Genomic DNA, 12,724 nt, shown 5'->3' with positions numbered 1-12,724 from the left:
GTAATCCCAGCTACTTGGGAGGCTGAGGCAGGAGAATCGCTTGAACCCGGCTGCAGTGAGCTGAGATAGCACAACTGCAATCCAGCCTGGGCGACAGAGTGAGATTCCATCTCAAAAAAAACTTCATGTATAATATATCCACATACATACATATGAAATTAGATGTATACATGTATACATACAATGCACACATAACTACTATATTTTACATATAGATATCATACTAATATATGCTACACATACATGTGCACATTCATATACATTAAATGAATACAAATTGAAGCATCTTTTTTTTATTCAGATTTTTCCAGTCAAGTAAATTGTCTCAAGGCCCCTGGCCCAGGTCTGAGTGTCACTACCAGAAGGATCCACCAGATGGCACTCCTTCGCTACTTCCTGTACTCCCAACTTGCCAGAGATGTCGCCTCTTTCCGCTAAGGCACAAAACTTGCAGAGCCAGGTGTTCCCCAGGCGCTTCCCCGCACGCCACCGCCCGCGCCATCCCCCCAGCCCCCACCAGCGTGGTGAGGGTGTCCTCGGTCCCCAAGGTCTGCAGTCTTGGCCCTCTCTGAGTCGGGTTCATCTCTCGGGCTTCCAGGCTTCTTTTTGAGGGGCGCTCTCCAGCTTCGGGCTCCAGTTCTGCCCAGTCCGCACATCGACCCCCCCGGTCACCAGGGCGCCAGGGGCTGGGCTTCGCCAGGACACCCTCAGTTATACCAGCACGGCTGCGCAACACTTCTTTGGAGCCTTCGCGGTGACGAGCAGCCGGGCGAAGCGGCCCTCCTCCTCACGACAGCCCGAGGAGGGGGTCAGGGTCATTTTCAGACAGCCCCCTCTGGCTTCCTCTTCACACCCTGCTCTAGATGGAGGAGAGAGGTACGCCCAGCCCGGCTCAGCTAAAAGCAGGGAGAAGAGCCCGGCCGAGACCTGGAAGCCTCGGCTTGGGAGGAGCTGGTCCGACGGACCCTTCCTGCCCCGGTTTGTCCGGACTCCGGATCTCCGGGTAGGAGCCAGAAGAAAGCGCATTCCAGGGATTTCAAGCGAACTATACTTAAAATCTTGGAGGTGGGAAATGTAGGGTGCGACTGAGCCTCTCCCGCCTTCAGGCCTGGCAACTCTGGGTCGGCGCTCCTGGAACCTCACATCTCGGGTGTGAGCAACCTAGGACACAAAACGCGGGGATGGCTTGGAAGCCCGTGGGCAGGCGAAACCGGGAGTTCTGGCAGCGGCTCAGCCTCCCCCTCCTCCTCCCTCCCCCTCCCTCCCCCTCCCCTGCCTTCCCCCGGGAGCAGCGGGAAATTATTTATTAAAACGCCGCCCGCGCTCTCATTTATTTGCGGTGAATAATCCTCGGCATCTCAGCACGTTTATTAAACCTTTCCCGTCCCTGCGCCCGCATTACTTTAATAATAAATCGCGTGTCACTTTCCAGCGACATTATTAAAGCGGGTCCGCTGCAGCAGAGGCGGGGTGCGGGGAGGGAGGGGGCGGTGGACAACAGTTCTCCCATTCCAGGCTGTGGTGCTTGAACCAGCAGGGCGGGGAGGGGAAAACTGAGGCTGCTAGGAGGCTGCTCCTGAACACCTACAAAGTCGGCTAACGCGATTAAGGAGTGCGGATTCCCCGGGACCTGCGTGACCCTCTCCGGTGGGGTGGGGCTTTTGGTGAGGAGCCTCTGCTCTGCAGGTGGACGCGGTAGGAGCTATGGGCCCGCAGAGGGCGTCTTGGAGCCCAGCTGGGCGAAGAACAAGCTAGGGGCGGATTCCCTGGCTGATGCTGGGACTCACACCCACGTCCCCTCTTTCAGCGCCGGGCGGATTTTGGCCACAGCGCCGAACAGCACGCCCCACCCCCGCCTACCCCTCTGATTCTGCTTCTGTGGGCGCCCTGGAATCGGCTCCCGGTATCCAGCCCGCTTGCGCTGTTGTGCGCGGCTCCTAGGGCCGCCCGCTTCCAGCCTGGGTTCGGCAATAAAAACTGTCGCTGGCTTAAGGACCCGGGGCAAGCCAGCAGTAGATGGAGTAGTGCGTAGCCGCGGGAGGGGCGGCCAAGCAGGACCTGGGGTTGGAGTTCCGGACCACACCCCTCCCATGTGGCCAGGCTCCCTGCGTTGGGCCCCAGAGGACAAACTCTGACGCTGAGCCAAGGGCAGGCCCTCCCGCAGTGGCGCCAGGATCCGGGTGGAGCCCTGGCGTGTAGGAGGCTGTCGCCATCTACACACAGCGCCTCGGCCTCGCTGACTTATGCTTTCATTCTTTCCTCCAATCATTAAATAAACATTGAGTCTCACCAGTGTCCCTGGGATAGGTAAGGAGAATGAGGAAAGAGATTTGGGGACCCCAAGCCAGAGAGGACAGGTCACAATTGGGGCAGATAGGAAACAGCCTTACCATGACTCTGGCTTCTGCAGGAAATGGGTAGATTCCTATGGGAGCTGGGGAAGGGTATGGACCACACAGGTGACCAAACTTCCACCCTCCTCTATCCAGTTTATGCTTTCATTTTGGGGGCCAACCCACATAGCCCTGTTCCCCATTCTGGCCTGGGGAAGGGTTTGGAATAAGATGAGCAAAGAAGCAGATAATGTATATCAGCCCCAATGGAGGGCAGACGGGGAAGATAACTTCCCTCCAGCCATATGGCTCCAGCCTCCCTCCCTCAAAGGCGGGATAGGCCCAAGTTCAAACTTTCTCTTTGTACATCTGGCAGGCATGTGCTTAGAGAGCAGGCCCTGCAGCTTCTGGAAGCCAGAGTTCTGTTAGTGTGGGAGGCCTCCCAGGGATATTCAGTTTTCATGTGCACATCTGCATAAACTGTCTGTGCATCATTAGAAATCTTTATTGGTGCCTAGCCCTGTGCTAGCCTTTGTCCAATACAGAGTGGTATAAGATCTCGAGCTGGCCTCACCTATCTCTCTGCACTGAACTAAGTCATGCTCCGCTGTTCTCTCTCTTGTACAAAAGACGGCAGACAGCAAAAGGGACTGCAGTTAGTAGGTGCAACTGGGGCTTAGGAGAGAGGGAAAAGTTCTGGAAGATGAGTTTGGGGAAAGGGCAAACAAGCTAGATAAACGTTGGGGACCAGGAAATAGCAAGAACCAGGGCCTGGGAGGAAGGGCAGTTAGAACTGTGGCCCAGCAGGGCTGGAAGAAGTGGAGAATCCTGGTGCCTGCACCTCTGTGTCTGCTCAGGCCCCCACCCCAGCCTGGGAAACAACCTGTTGGAGGTCCTACTGGCCAGGGCATCTCCTGCATGGGCCCCTTTGTACCCCACCGGTCCTGGTCTCAGCTTCTCTCCCTACCCTCCTCCAGCTTTTGTCTCTATCCTACCACACTGCTACCTTGGAGTCAAATAGGCCTCCCATGATCATCCCTACTGACAGCATGAAAGCAGTCGATGAAGGGACCCTGCTCCCCTTTCCAGGTCTTTTCAAGAGCAGGGATGAACACTATAGCCGCTCACCCACCCCCATGGGCCAGAGCTCTGGACCTAGTAGTAATCGTCATTCTCTTCACTCTCAGCCTCCTCCTCAGGAACCAGGTTTAGTGATCGCAGCTGGGGGATGCCTGTAGAGTTCAGCTGGTCTGCAAACACACATGGGCAAAGAAGAGAGAACAGGAGAGAGGGGCTGTCGGTGCCCACATAGCCCAGTCTGCGGAAGGCTATGCTTGTGTATACAGACACATGGTCTGTTTCTTACACATTCACAACTGGAATCCAGCACCATCCCCCCAACCCCCAGAACTCAGGAATCCCCTTACCAGGTGTGAGCACTGTCAAGCTAGCAGGGGCCTCCACTTGACCCAGGGCATTGCGGCCAAGGCAGCGGTAAGTGCCCTCATCACTGGGACGCACAGCCTGGATCTGCAGCCAGCCAGTCACCTCAAACCTCTGGGGTCCACCCCTAAACTGGAGCCAGGCAAGGAATCAGCAGGGTCCTTCTGGAGGGCCCTGGGCTGCCTGAGGGAAGCCTCTCCCACCAGTCTACCTGCACAGAGATGTGGGGGTCATCCCCTGGCAGCTGGATGTCCAAGCCATCCTTCCTCCACTCGATGGAGGCCATGGGGTAGGCAAACACTTCACAGCCAAAGATCACATCCTGCCCTGTCACATTCCAAGTGTCATATGGATGTGACACGATCTGGGGCCCTGGGGGTGAAGGCGGGAGGTCTGAGAATAGCATGGCCCAGCAAAGGCATCCAGTCTGGCAAAGACATGATACACAAATTTTTGTGGACATGCTTGTGGCAGAACACAATATATGCTGAGGTAAATACACATCCATAAACACACCGTGACACACACAGGTACACACAGATATGGATGCTGGTACACACAAGGGTACCACGCAGACGTGGAGATAGGTATACATGCACATGTGCACATAGAACCTCATGCAGACCCAATGCACAAACAAGCACACACATCTACATTGTAGCTTGGCAGCCACTCTGTCCCTAACTGCTCCCCTGTCCTCATTTCACCCTCCCCAGCCTTTCCTGCGTGCCTGTAATCAAAACCTTCCAGATCCCCCTTCCCCTTTTCTAAACAGGCCCAGTTCCCAAAGGAGGAAAAGCAGCCGTTCCCTCCTCAGTACCCCCTGGGGGAGTCCTGCGGCAAGGCAGAGAACCTGAAGCTGGACTTGTGCGACAGGCAGGAAGCCTGCAGGAGTGGAGGAAATTGCTGGGACCCCCACGGGGTGTTTGTTTTCTGGCTGCCCCAGCCGAGCCAGACGCAGAGCCCGGGCTCAGGAAGTGAAAGTTACTAAAGCTACCAAGGAAAGCTAGAGGCCTGAATGGACCCCAGTCCCCAGGGATAGAGAAAGAACTTCCCGCTCCCCTTCACTAATCCCTAAAAGCAGGAGAAAGCAGAGAGGTGGGGAGACTGGGTGAACAAACTGCTCTAAGAATGAAACGTGATTGCATCTCACAGGAACCCGTCTTGCTGCCTGGACTCCACTGGTCTGGGAAAAGTCGGGGGGGTCTCTGAGCAAACCATAGGTTATGTGCCTGCGCCCTCAGAGGACCTGTCTCTCCCTGCCAGCCAGCTCTGGAGCTTTCACGTGGTTCAGCGAATGCAGCTTGCTGACGAAGCCCGGGACTCCCACTCCACTCCACCCCCCACCCCCACCTTAAGGTGGCAGCTTTTATGAACCAGTAGCGAGAGCAGGGTTTTATACTGGACTCGAGGCCTCTATAGCCTTATCTTTTTTGCTCTGCTGGCCAGAGACCAATGCTGTCAGGGGTCGGGGAGCAGTGCCTCTAGGAAACCTAAGTGCTGGGGTGGGGGCCCCGGGCCATGCGTACCCGATTCGCAGGGCCCCGGGTGTGCCACAGTGAGGTTGGCATCGGGCCGAGCGCGGGCCGCCTCCTGCAGGCGGCAGATCTGGGAGTAGGTGTGACCGTCGGACCCGCAGAGCGGACTCTGCGAACGACAGGCACACAGAGGTTCCGGCACCTCTCCGCGGCTCAGGTCGCCGCCTGTGTCCAGCCGGCACTCAAGCTGCTCGCCGCAGTGCCCGTAGAAGTGAGCACTGGGGTCCAGGTCGCAGAGCTGGCCCTCGAGGTTGGCGCATTCCCAGCAGCAGCCGCACGCGTCGCGCACCCTGCCCGCCAGGCAGCCCCGCGGCGCGGCGCACTCTTCTGGCCGGCAGGGAGCGCAGCCCTCGCCCTCCGCTAGCAGCCGCATCCAGCCGCGCCGCAGGTAATCTGGGCCTGGGGATGGCCTTGCGCCGGTCGGGGGCGGCGTCAGCACCACCAGCAGTAGCAGGAGCACAGGCAGCGCCAAGGCAGCTGCGGGCCGCGGCGGCGGCAGCATGGTTAGCGGGAAGCCCTGCGAGCACTCGGGGCATCAGCGCGTTCGGGCACCCTGCCAGGAAGGGAAGCCAGGTCAGGAGGTCAGAAACAGGGCCTGTGCCGAAAGACCAACCTCACTGCTTCTTGTACCAAAGCATGACACTAGCATCGCCCCCTCCCCTGCTACCAAGTAGCCTCCCCCAACACACAGGCCTAGTGACCCTCTAGGGATTATCCAGTTATGGCAGTTAGCAATCAGTTGGGCTGTTCTTGGGAGGGCTGGGAGTGAAGAGAGGTGAGGAAAGGGTGATAAGGCTCAGGCGCACGCACACCCACCACCAGCACCACTTCCGTGCACCACCCGACTCCGATCCCTGGCCCCTGAGCATCCTTGCCCAAAGAGAATGGGTGGCTCCAGAAGTAAGAAGCTGCTAATGGGGGGTGAGAACTGGGGGGGCTGATGCCGCCTCGCTTATGGCCTGGGGCACAGAGTGCTCACCTAGTGTCCGGAACTAGACCCTTCGCAGCAGCCGTGATTCGAGTCCGAAAGAAAAGGTTATGGAAAGAAAGCAGAGGCGCAGTCAGCCGGGCCCGCCGGCCACCTCTGCTCCGTCCTGAGGACTTCTGAGAGAGCCCACGAACTTGGATTCAGAAAGCAGCTCCTCCGGCCCCCTCTCTCCGCCCCTCGACTTCGCGCACCCGCCTTCCCACTAGTTCTAAGGCTGCCAATTTTATGTAGCCGCATGGGACCCTCCCGGGTCATTTCCCCCAGCCTGGCCCAAAGTCACAATGCGAGCAGAGGAGCCGTAACCAGACACCGAGGCTGGGAGAGAGGAAGGGGGTGAGGACCGGAGGCGGGGAGTGGGGGTAGGAGTTTGGCTGGGAAGCTCAAAGTGTTGGCTGAACGGCTAGGCCCTGTCCCATCTGATTTTACAGTCCCTGGCGTCGGCGAGGGCAGCTGCATAAGGGGGAGGCGGCAGGAGCTCTGGTGCCAAGTCATTTTACGTCGATGTCGGGGCGCTCCTGGAGGGCAGGACCAACCACCTTCGTCTCCCCGCAGCCCAGGGCTGGTTCCCGGGAGCGACCGCAGGCTTGCCCACCCAGCTGCCCCACCAAGGCGCGGACAGACTGGGCGCCTACATCCGCCTTCCCTCATCTGGCCTCCTTCTTCCTCCCCACATCCGGCAGGTGCTGCGACCCGCGGGTGAGCCGGGTGATTCGAGGTCGGAGCCGACCAGCGGCCGCAGGGAGAGGCGGGCTGGCGCCTCCCCGGCGGGCGTCCCTCGGGTCGGGATTACAGGTTACGGTTGCGAGGCTGGCAGGGCCGGAGACACTCGGCCTCGCGGCCGCCACCACCGCCACCGTGGCACTTTGGGCCGGGGGCGGGGAGGAGAGCATTCCTAGGGGCCCGCCAGCCAAACCCGGGTCGGGCAGGCCCCGCCCCGGCCGGCCCCAAGCGGCTCACAGAAGCCTTGGCGCAGTCCAGCTCGCGGGGGGATGGGCGAGGGTGGGGGGCAGAAATAGCAATCTGCAGCCGGCAAGGGGGCGGCACTTAGTCAGGCTCCGCCCACAAGACCCGGCTGCCGTCCCCGCCCGCCTGCGCGGGATCGACTCCGCATGCGCACTGGAGCCTCGGAATACAGCCAGGACTCTCCCGTCGGAATGCGCCCCTAAGTTGGGCCAAGCCCATTCATTCAGGGGCTCCCGAGCCACGTAGGCGCCATCCCTGGCCAGAGGGGTTCTGAGGAGGTGGGCAAGGGCAGACACTCTCTCCCGGTCTCAAATTCGAAATAGGGACTAGAAGGGAACTTCACGCGAGGCCTCGCAACTGTCGCGAGAATCAGAACAGGAAATCTAGGAACCGAGAACACTAAGAGCCCGCGGATTTTAAACAGGAAAAAGAAAGGGCGGAGCAAACTCTGGCGGATAGTTGTGAGTAATCCCTGGTCCTTGGAATAAGTGTCGACCTGAGACAGAAGGGGAACTGTCAGAGAGCTGCCGGAGACCCTGAAAAAGGCCAGAGACGGGGACTTGTGGGGCTGACGAATGGAATCACCCAAGGAGAGGTCTCTGACTCTAACAAAACACCTTGGGGACGGAGCTCCTTGGCTGGGATACAGAGCAGACAAGTCCGGGATCTTTTAGTGAATTGCTGCCGGCTTCTAAGGCCTGGAGCAGATATTCAACAACAAACTCCACGGACCTAGAAACTCTCCACTTATCCTACTATTGTAGACGGTGGCTTACTTTTAGTCTTCCCTATGCTCTAAGCTTCTGGTAGTAGGAATCGTGCCTAACTCACTACTGTATCTTGTGAACCTAGCCCCGCGCCTGGTGGCACGTCAAATTCTCGGTAAATATTTGTGGATTAAATGTGAAAGACTGCCTGAGTGTTTAACCTGGATTTTCTGAGTCGCTGATGGAGAACAGTAGGTAGACGGGGAACCAGCGCCCTCTGGTGGGCTTGTGGTTCGTGACGAGAACATGCTGGAACCGTGCATCCAGGTAGGCACAAAGATAATAAAAGGGGATCCGCTGTTATTAAGTAGAGATTTTGTTACATTAAAACCCTACATACCGTAAAAATGCTTTTAGAAGGGAGTTTTTTGAATAGGACACAACTTGAAAGTTTAGATACATTCCCCGATCCTCAACATCCCATACTTTATCCATCAAGGCTCCAAAATATTCAGTAACACCTATGCGCATCATACATAGTAAAGAGATAGCAAATGATTTTGCGTATATATACTTTGAAAATGTTTACTCGGTTTTGTGCAAAACAGGCCAAAGGGAAGGGATTTTCTAGCCTAGATGATGTGAATACTGCTAGGGAGAGGAGCCAGGTGGCAGCATCCTTTGCATTTAATGAGGGAGACTAGATCCAGATGGGCAGGGTGAAGTTGAAATTTGTTGAATAATAGATGGTCCCGCCTCTTTTTTCCCCTTTTCCTGCAGATGCTTGTATTGAAGAAGGAATGAGGTATAGAATGTAGTTTTCTTTCCACTGTGAAGCCCTGTGTTCACAAGATTATCATACGTTCACTTTCAGTCACTGACACATGAAATAACTGAAGTATAATGACAGAATGATGAGCTGGAGTGTGGTGGTGCACGCCTGTAGCACCAGCTACTTGGGAGACTGAGGCAGTAGGATCCCTTGAGCTCAAGGGTTCGAGAGACCATGTCTCTTTAAAAATAGAAGTTTAGGGCCAGGCGTGGTGGCTCATACCTCTTAATCCCAGCACTTTGGGAGGCGGAGGCGGGTGGATCACCTGAGGTCAGGAGCTTGAGACCAGCCTGGTCAATATGGTGAAACCCTGTCTCTACTAAAAATACAAAAATTAGCCCAGCGTGGTGGTGCACGCCTGTAATCCCAGCTACTCAGGAGGCTGAGGCAGGAGAATCGCTTGAATCTGGGAGGCAGAGGTTGCAGTGAGCCCAGATCACGCCACTGCACTCCAGCCTGGGTGACAGAGCAAGACCCCCTCTCAAAAAATAAAAATAAAAAATAGAATTTTAAAAATAAAAGAGTGAAAAGAGCCCTATACAGATGAACAACAAAAGATGAAACAAGGCATACAGTCATTGTTTAATTTGGTAAAGAAAAGAAATTACTTCAAATGATCCACATATTTCAACCTGTCACTTCACAAACCCTGTTTTGACACAGCTGGTGAAAATAGTAGAGTTGCAACTTTGAGGAAGAAGCAGGAATGAAACAAATGGTCCATACTGACCTATTAAAGACGGATATGGAGAAATTGTGCTTCCTGTGAATATTAGAATTGGTTGATTAAAAAAAAAACCTCAACATAGATAATTAAAATGGAATACTTTGTAGCTACCAACTATGACAAATAGGTAAACTCAAAATAATGTATGTAGGAAACAAAGTGAAAAGTATGTATGGAAAAATAAGGTTAAGAGAAAAGAAGAAGTATATGGATACTGATCACAACTGTATGTGTATTTATCATCTATATCATCAATAAACATCCTAAGAGAATTTGGAATGAGGCTAATGGTTGAGTGTAATACTCACTACTGCTTTATAAGTTATTTTTCCTTTTTTTTTTTTTTTTTTTTGAGACAGAGTCTAGCTTTATCGCCCAGGCTGGAGTACAGTGGCGCAATCTCAGCTCACTGCAACCTCGGCCTCCCGGGTTCAAGCGATCCTCCTACCTCAGCCTCCTGAGTAGCCACCTGGCTAATTTTTTTTTTTTTTTTTTTTTTTTTTTAAGTAGAGACAGGGTTTTGTCATGTTGGCCAGGCTGGTCTTGAACTCCTGACCTCAAGTGATCTGCTCACCTTGGCTTCCTAGTAGAGGCTATTTTTATAGGTAAATTAGAATGTCAAGATAAATGTAGCAAAGCTGGGGTGGCCAGGTAAAAAGATTGGCTGGGCACAGTGGTTCATGCCTGTAATCCCAGCCCTTTGGGAGACCAAGGTGGGCGGATCACCTGAGGTCAGGAGTTCGAGACCAGCCTGGCCAACATGGCAAAACCCCATCTCTATTAAAAATACAAAAATTAGCTGGTTATGGTGGCGCATGCGTATAATCCCAGCTACTTGGGAGGCTGAGACAGTAGAATCGCTTGAACCCAGGAGGCGGAGGTTGCAGTGAACCGAGATCGCGCCACCACGCCAACCTAGGTGACAGAGCAAAACTCCATCTCAAAAAAAACAAGAAAAGAAAAGAAAAAGGAAAACATAATTCAGCTATAAGTAGTGTTACAAAATGAAGACTGGAATAGCCAGGAACTGGCTTTCTGGAATACCTAGGCATTAAGGCAAGTTGAATAAGCTTCAGGACATCTAAATCAGGCCTCAGTCTACCTTCGTATATCTCAAAAGGCAATCCCTCCCCCTAACACCCACCTTCAGTATCCCATTGACCCTTGAAATGGTGACTGTAGCTCCATCCAACCTGATGACTTGGCCAAATGTTATATTGATAAACTTAGAAAAGATGCTTAAATCATTCCACATGTACATTGTTTCTACATTTCTATTTCTTTCTTTCTTTTTTTTTTTGAGACAGAGTTTCACTGTTGTTGCCCAGGCTGGAGTGCAATGGCACAATCTCGGCTCACTGCAACCTCCACTTTCCACGTTCAAGCAATTCTCCTGCCTCAGCCTCCCGTGTAGCTGGGATTATAGGCATGCACCACCATGCTAGGCTAATTTTGTATGTTTAGTAGAGACAGTGTTTCACCACGTTGGTCAGGCTGGTCTTGAACTGACCTTAAGTGATCCACCCACCTCGGCCTCGCAAAGTGCTGGGATTACAGACGTGAGCCACCGCGCCTGGCCCTTTCTACATTTCTTGTTCTCATTTTGTTTTTAACTTAATTTCATTATGAAGTATAATAGACAAGCAGAAAAGTGCACAAAGTAGATATATGGTTAAATTAATTATTACTAAATGAACACTTGTGATTATCCAGGTCAAGAAACAGAACATTGCCAACACCCTCAGAAGCCCCCATCATGCCCCTCCCCGATAATTTTCCCTCCTCTTCTCCCTAGATAACCATTTTTTTGTTTGTTTTTTTGATTTGTTTGTTTGTTTTTGTTGAGACATGGTCTTTCTCTGTTGCCCAGGCTAGAGTGCAGTGGCGTGATCATGGTTTGTTGCAGTCTCAAAGTCCTGGGTTCAAAGGATCCTTCCACGTCAGCCTCCCAAGTAGCTGGGACTACAGGCACACCACCACACCTAGCTAATTTTTTTATTTTTATTTTTGCAGAGACAAAGTCTTACTATGTTATCCAGGCTGGTGTGGAACTCCTGACCTCAAGCAGTCCTCCCACCTCAGCCTCCCAAATTGCTGGGATTATAGATGTGAACCACTGTGCCTGGCCAATAACCACCTTTAACTCTATACTTTAAGTTTACCTGGTTTTGACATTTATAGAAATTGGGACATGCCTAGGATTGGAATTACTGCTTCATGTGATATGCATATTCAACATTAGTAGATTTTCTTTTCCTTCCTTCCTTCTTTCCTTCCTTCCTTCCTCCTTTCCTTCCTTCCTTTCCTTCCTTCCTTCCTTCCTTTTCTTTCTTTCCTTTTCTTTTCTTTCTTTCCTTCTTTTCTTTCTTTTTTTTTCTTTTCTTTCTCACAGGGTCTCACTCTATCTGGGCTAGTCCCAAACTCCTCGGCTTAAGCAATCCTCCCACCTCAGCCTCCCAAAATGCTGGGATTATCAACATTAGTAGATATTACCATACACTTTTTCCAGTGTGATGTATGAATTTATATAGTCTTCAGCAGTTGATGAGTTTTCATTATGCCACATCCTTGCCAAGAGTTGGTATTGTTGTTGTTCTTTTAAATTTTAGCCATTAGGTAAAAATTTTAGAGCCTAAAATTTTTAAATGGCCAGTTCTGCAAGGATTTCCTCTCTTGGATATTTTTTTAAAAACCTTTTATTTTGAATTTTAGACTTGGATAGAAGTTGTGAAAATAGCAAAGAAATTTCCCATGTACCTGTCACCTAGCCTACCCTGGTGATAACATAATATCTTATATAACCATGATATAATTATCAAAACCAGGAAATTGAAATTTATACAGTACTATTAGCTAAACAATGGACCTTATTTGGATATCACTGGTTTGATATTACGTGTGTGTGTATAATTGAAATTTTATTGCATGTGTAGAGTTGTGTGACCATGAGGTGAGTAAATGGGTCTTCAGGGGTATGACAGGGTAAAACTGATGCCAAGGGAAAAGCTAGTAGACTCTATAGTACTAAACACAATGTCATTTAATATATGAGTAGCTTTAAAATTATTATATCAAAAGTCAGTGATAGGAAAGGCAGCTAGTTACGGTAGCTAAACACACACAGCTGGGTGCGGTGACACATGCCTATAGTCCCAGCTACTCAGGAGGCTGAGGCAGGAGGATCACTTGAGTC

The 12,724-nt window shown here is 52.3% G+C and overlaps 1 protein-coding gene and 1 long non-coding RNA gene across 9 annotated transcripts, besides 5 other annotated features; one reads left to right on the top strand and one right to left on the bottom strand.

Moving 5' to 3' along the window:
• Positions 1-277: 277 nt before the first annotated feature.
• Positions 278-6,420, bottom strand: KAZALD1 (Kazal type serine peptidase inhibitor domain 1). 8 transcript variants are annotated; one of them, XR_246107.4, is made up of 6 exons: positions 6,294-6,420; positions 5,306-5,867; positions 3,988-4,148; positions 3,761-3,908; positions 1,861-3,583; positions 278-1,161 (listed from the first exon to the last, which is right to left on the bottom strand). XR_246107.4 is itself a non-coding variant. In NM_001319303.2 (6 exons), the coding sequence occupies exons 2-5, from the start codon at positions 5,345-5,347 to the stop codon at positions 3,489-3,491; spliced, it is 501 nt and encodes a 166-aa protein (NP_001306232.1). In that variant the 5' UTR covers positions 5,348-5,867; positions 6,294-6,420; the 3' UTR covers positions 278-1,161; positions 3,466-3,488. The 8 variants fall into 8 exon arrangements, 5 of the variants coding, with proteins under 5 accessions (NP_001306232.1, XP_024303981.1, XP_016872204.1 ...); NM_001319303.2 differs by having other exon boundaries at positions 3,466-3,583; positions 3,988-4,203; XM_024448213.2 differs by having other exon boundaries at positions 3,466-3,583.
• Positions 380-479: a silencer, noted in NCBI's record as "silent region_2718". NCBI's record gives its function as "represses an Ori minimal core promoter by ATAC-STARR-seq in GM12878 lymphoblastoid cells {active_cell/tissue: GM12878}" and the evidence as "EXISTENCE:reporter gene assay evidence [ECO:0000049][PMID:35858748]".
• Positions 5,668-6,556: an enhancer, noted in NCBI's record as "H3K27ac-H3K4me1 hESC enhancer chr10:102821610-102822498 (GRCh37/hg19 assembly coordinates)". NCBI's record gives its function as "activates a minimal SCP1, AML or CMV promoter by ChIP-STARR-seq in naive H9 embryonic stem cells {active_cell/tissue: H9 hESC(naive)}" and the evidence as "EXISTENCE:reporter gene assay evidence [ECO:0000049][PMID:30033119]".
• Positions 5,706-5,755: a silencer, noted in NCBI's record as "silent region_2717". NCBI's record gives its function as "represses an Ori minimal core promoter by ATAC-STARR-seq in GM12878 lymphoblastoid cells {active_cell/tissue: GM12878}" and the evidence as "EXISTENCE:reporter gene assay evidence [ECO:0000049][PMID:35858748]".
• Positions 6,936-7,355: a silencer, noted in NCBI's record as "silent region_2716". NCBI's record gives its function as "represses an Ori minimal core promoter by ATAC-STARR-seq in GM12878 lymphoblastoid cells {active_cell/tissue: GM12878}" and the evidence as "EXISTENCE:reporter gene assay evidence [ECO:0000049][PMID:35858748]".
• Positions 7,483-7,777: an enhancer, noted in NCBI's record as "tiled region #11881; HepG2 Activating DNase unmatched - State 1:Tss, and K562 Activating DNase matched - State 1:Tss". NCBI's record gives its function as "activates a minimal TATA promoter and a strong SV40 promoter by Sharpr-MPRA in HepG2 and K562 cells {active_cell/tissue: HepG2 | K562}" and the evidence as "EXISTENCE:reporter gene assay evidence [ECO:0000049][PMID:27701403]".
• Positions 7,658-9,814, top strand: LOC107984262 (uncharacterized). Its single transcript, XR_001747569.3, has 2 exons — positions 7,658-8,299; positions 8,753-9,814. It is a non-coding gene; the product is annotated as an uncharacterized LOC107984262 (long non-coding RNA).
• Positions 9,815-12,724: the final 2,910 nt, after the last annotated feature.

Source organism: Homo sapiens, chromosome 10 (assembly GCF_000001405.40).
Source record: "Homo sapiens chromosome 10, GRCh38.p14 Primary Assembly".
NCBI classification, from domain to species: Eukaryota; Metazoa; Chordata; class Mammalia; order Primates; family Hominidae; genus Homo; species Homo sapiens.
This window is presented reverse-complemented; position numbering and strand designations above follow the sequence as displayed.

Coding starts and splice junctions, on each gene's coding strand:
- KAZALD1 (XM_024448213.2), bottom strand. CDS start 5,816: ATGCTGCCGCCGCCGCGGCCCGCAGCTGCCTTGGCGCTGCCTGTGCTC. Junction 4,149..5,305: donor CCCGGGGCCCTGCGAATCGG/GTACGCATGGCC, acceptor CTTCACCCCCAG/GGCCCCAGATCGTGTCACAT. Junction 3,584..3,760: donor CTTGACAGTGCTCACACCTG/GTAAGGGGATTC, acceptor GTGTGTTTGCAG/ACCAGCTGAACTCTACAGGC.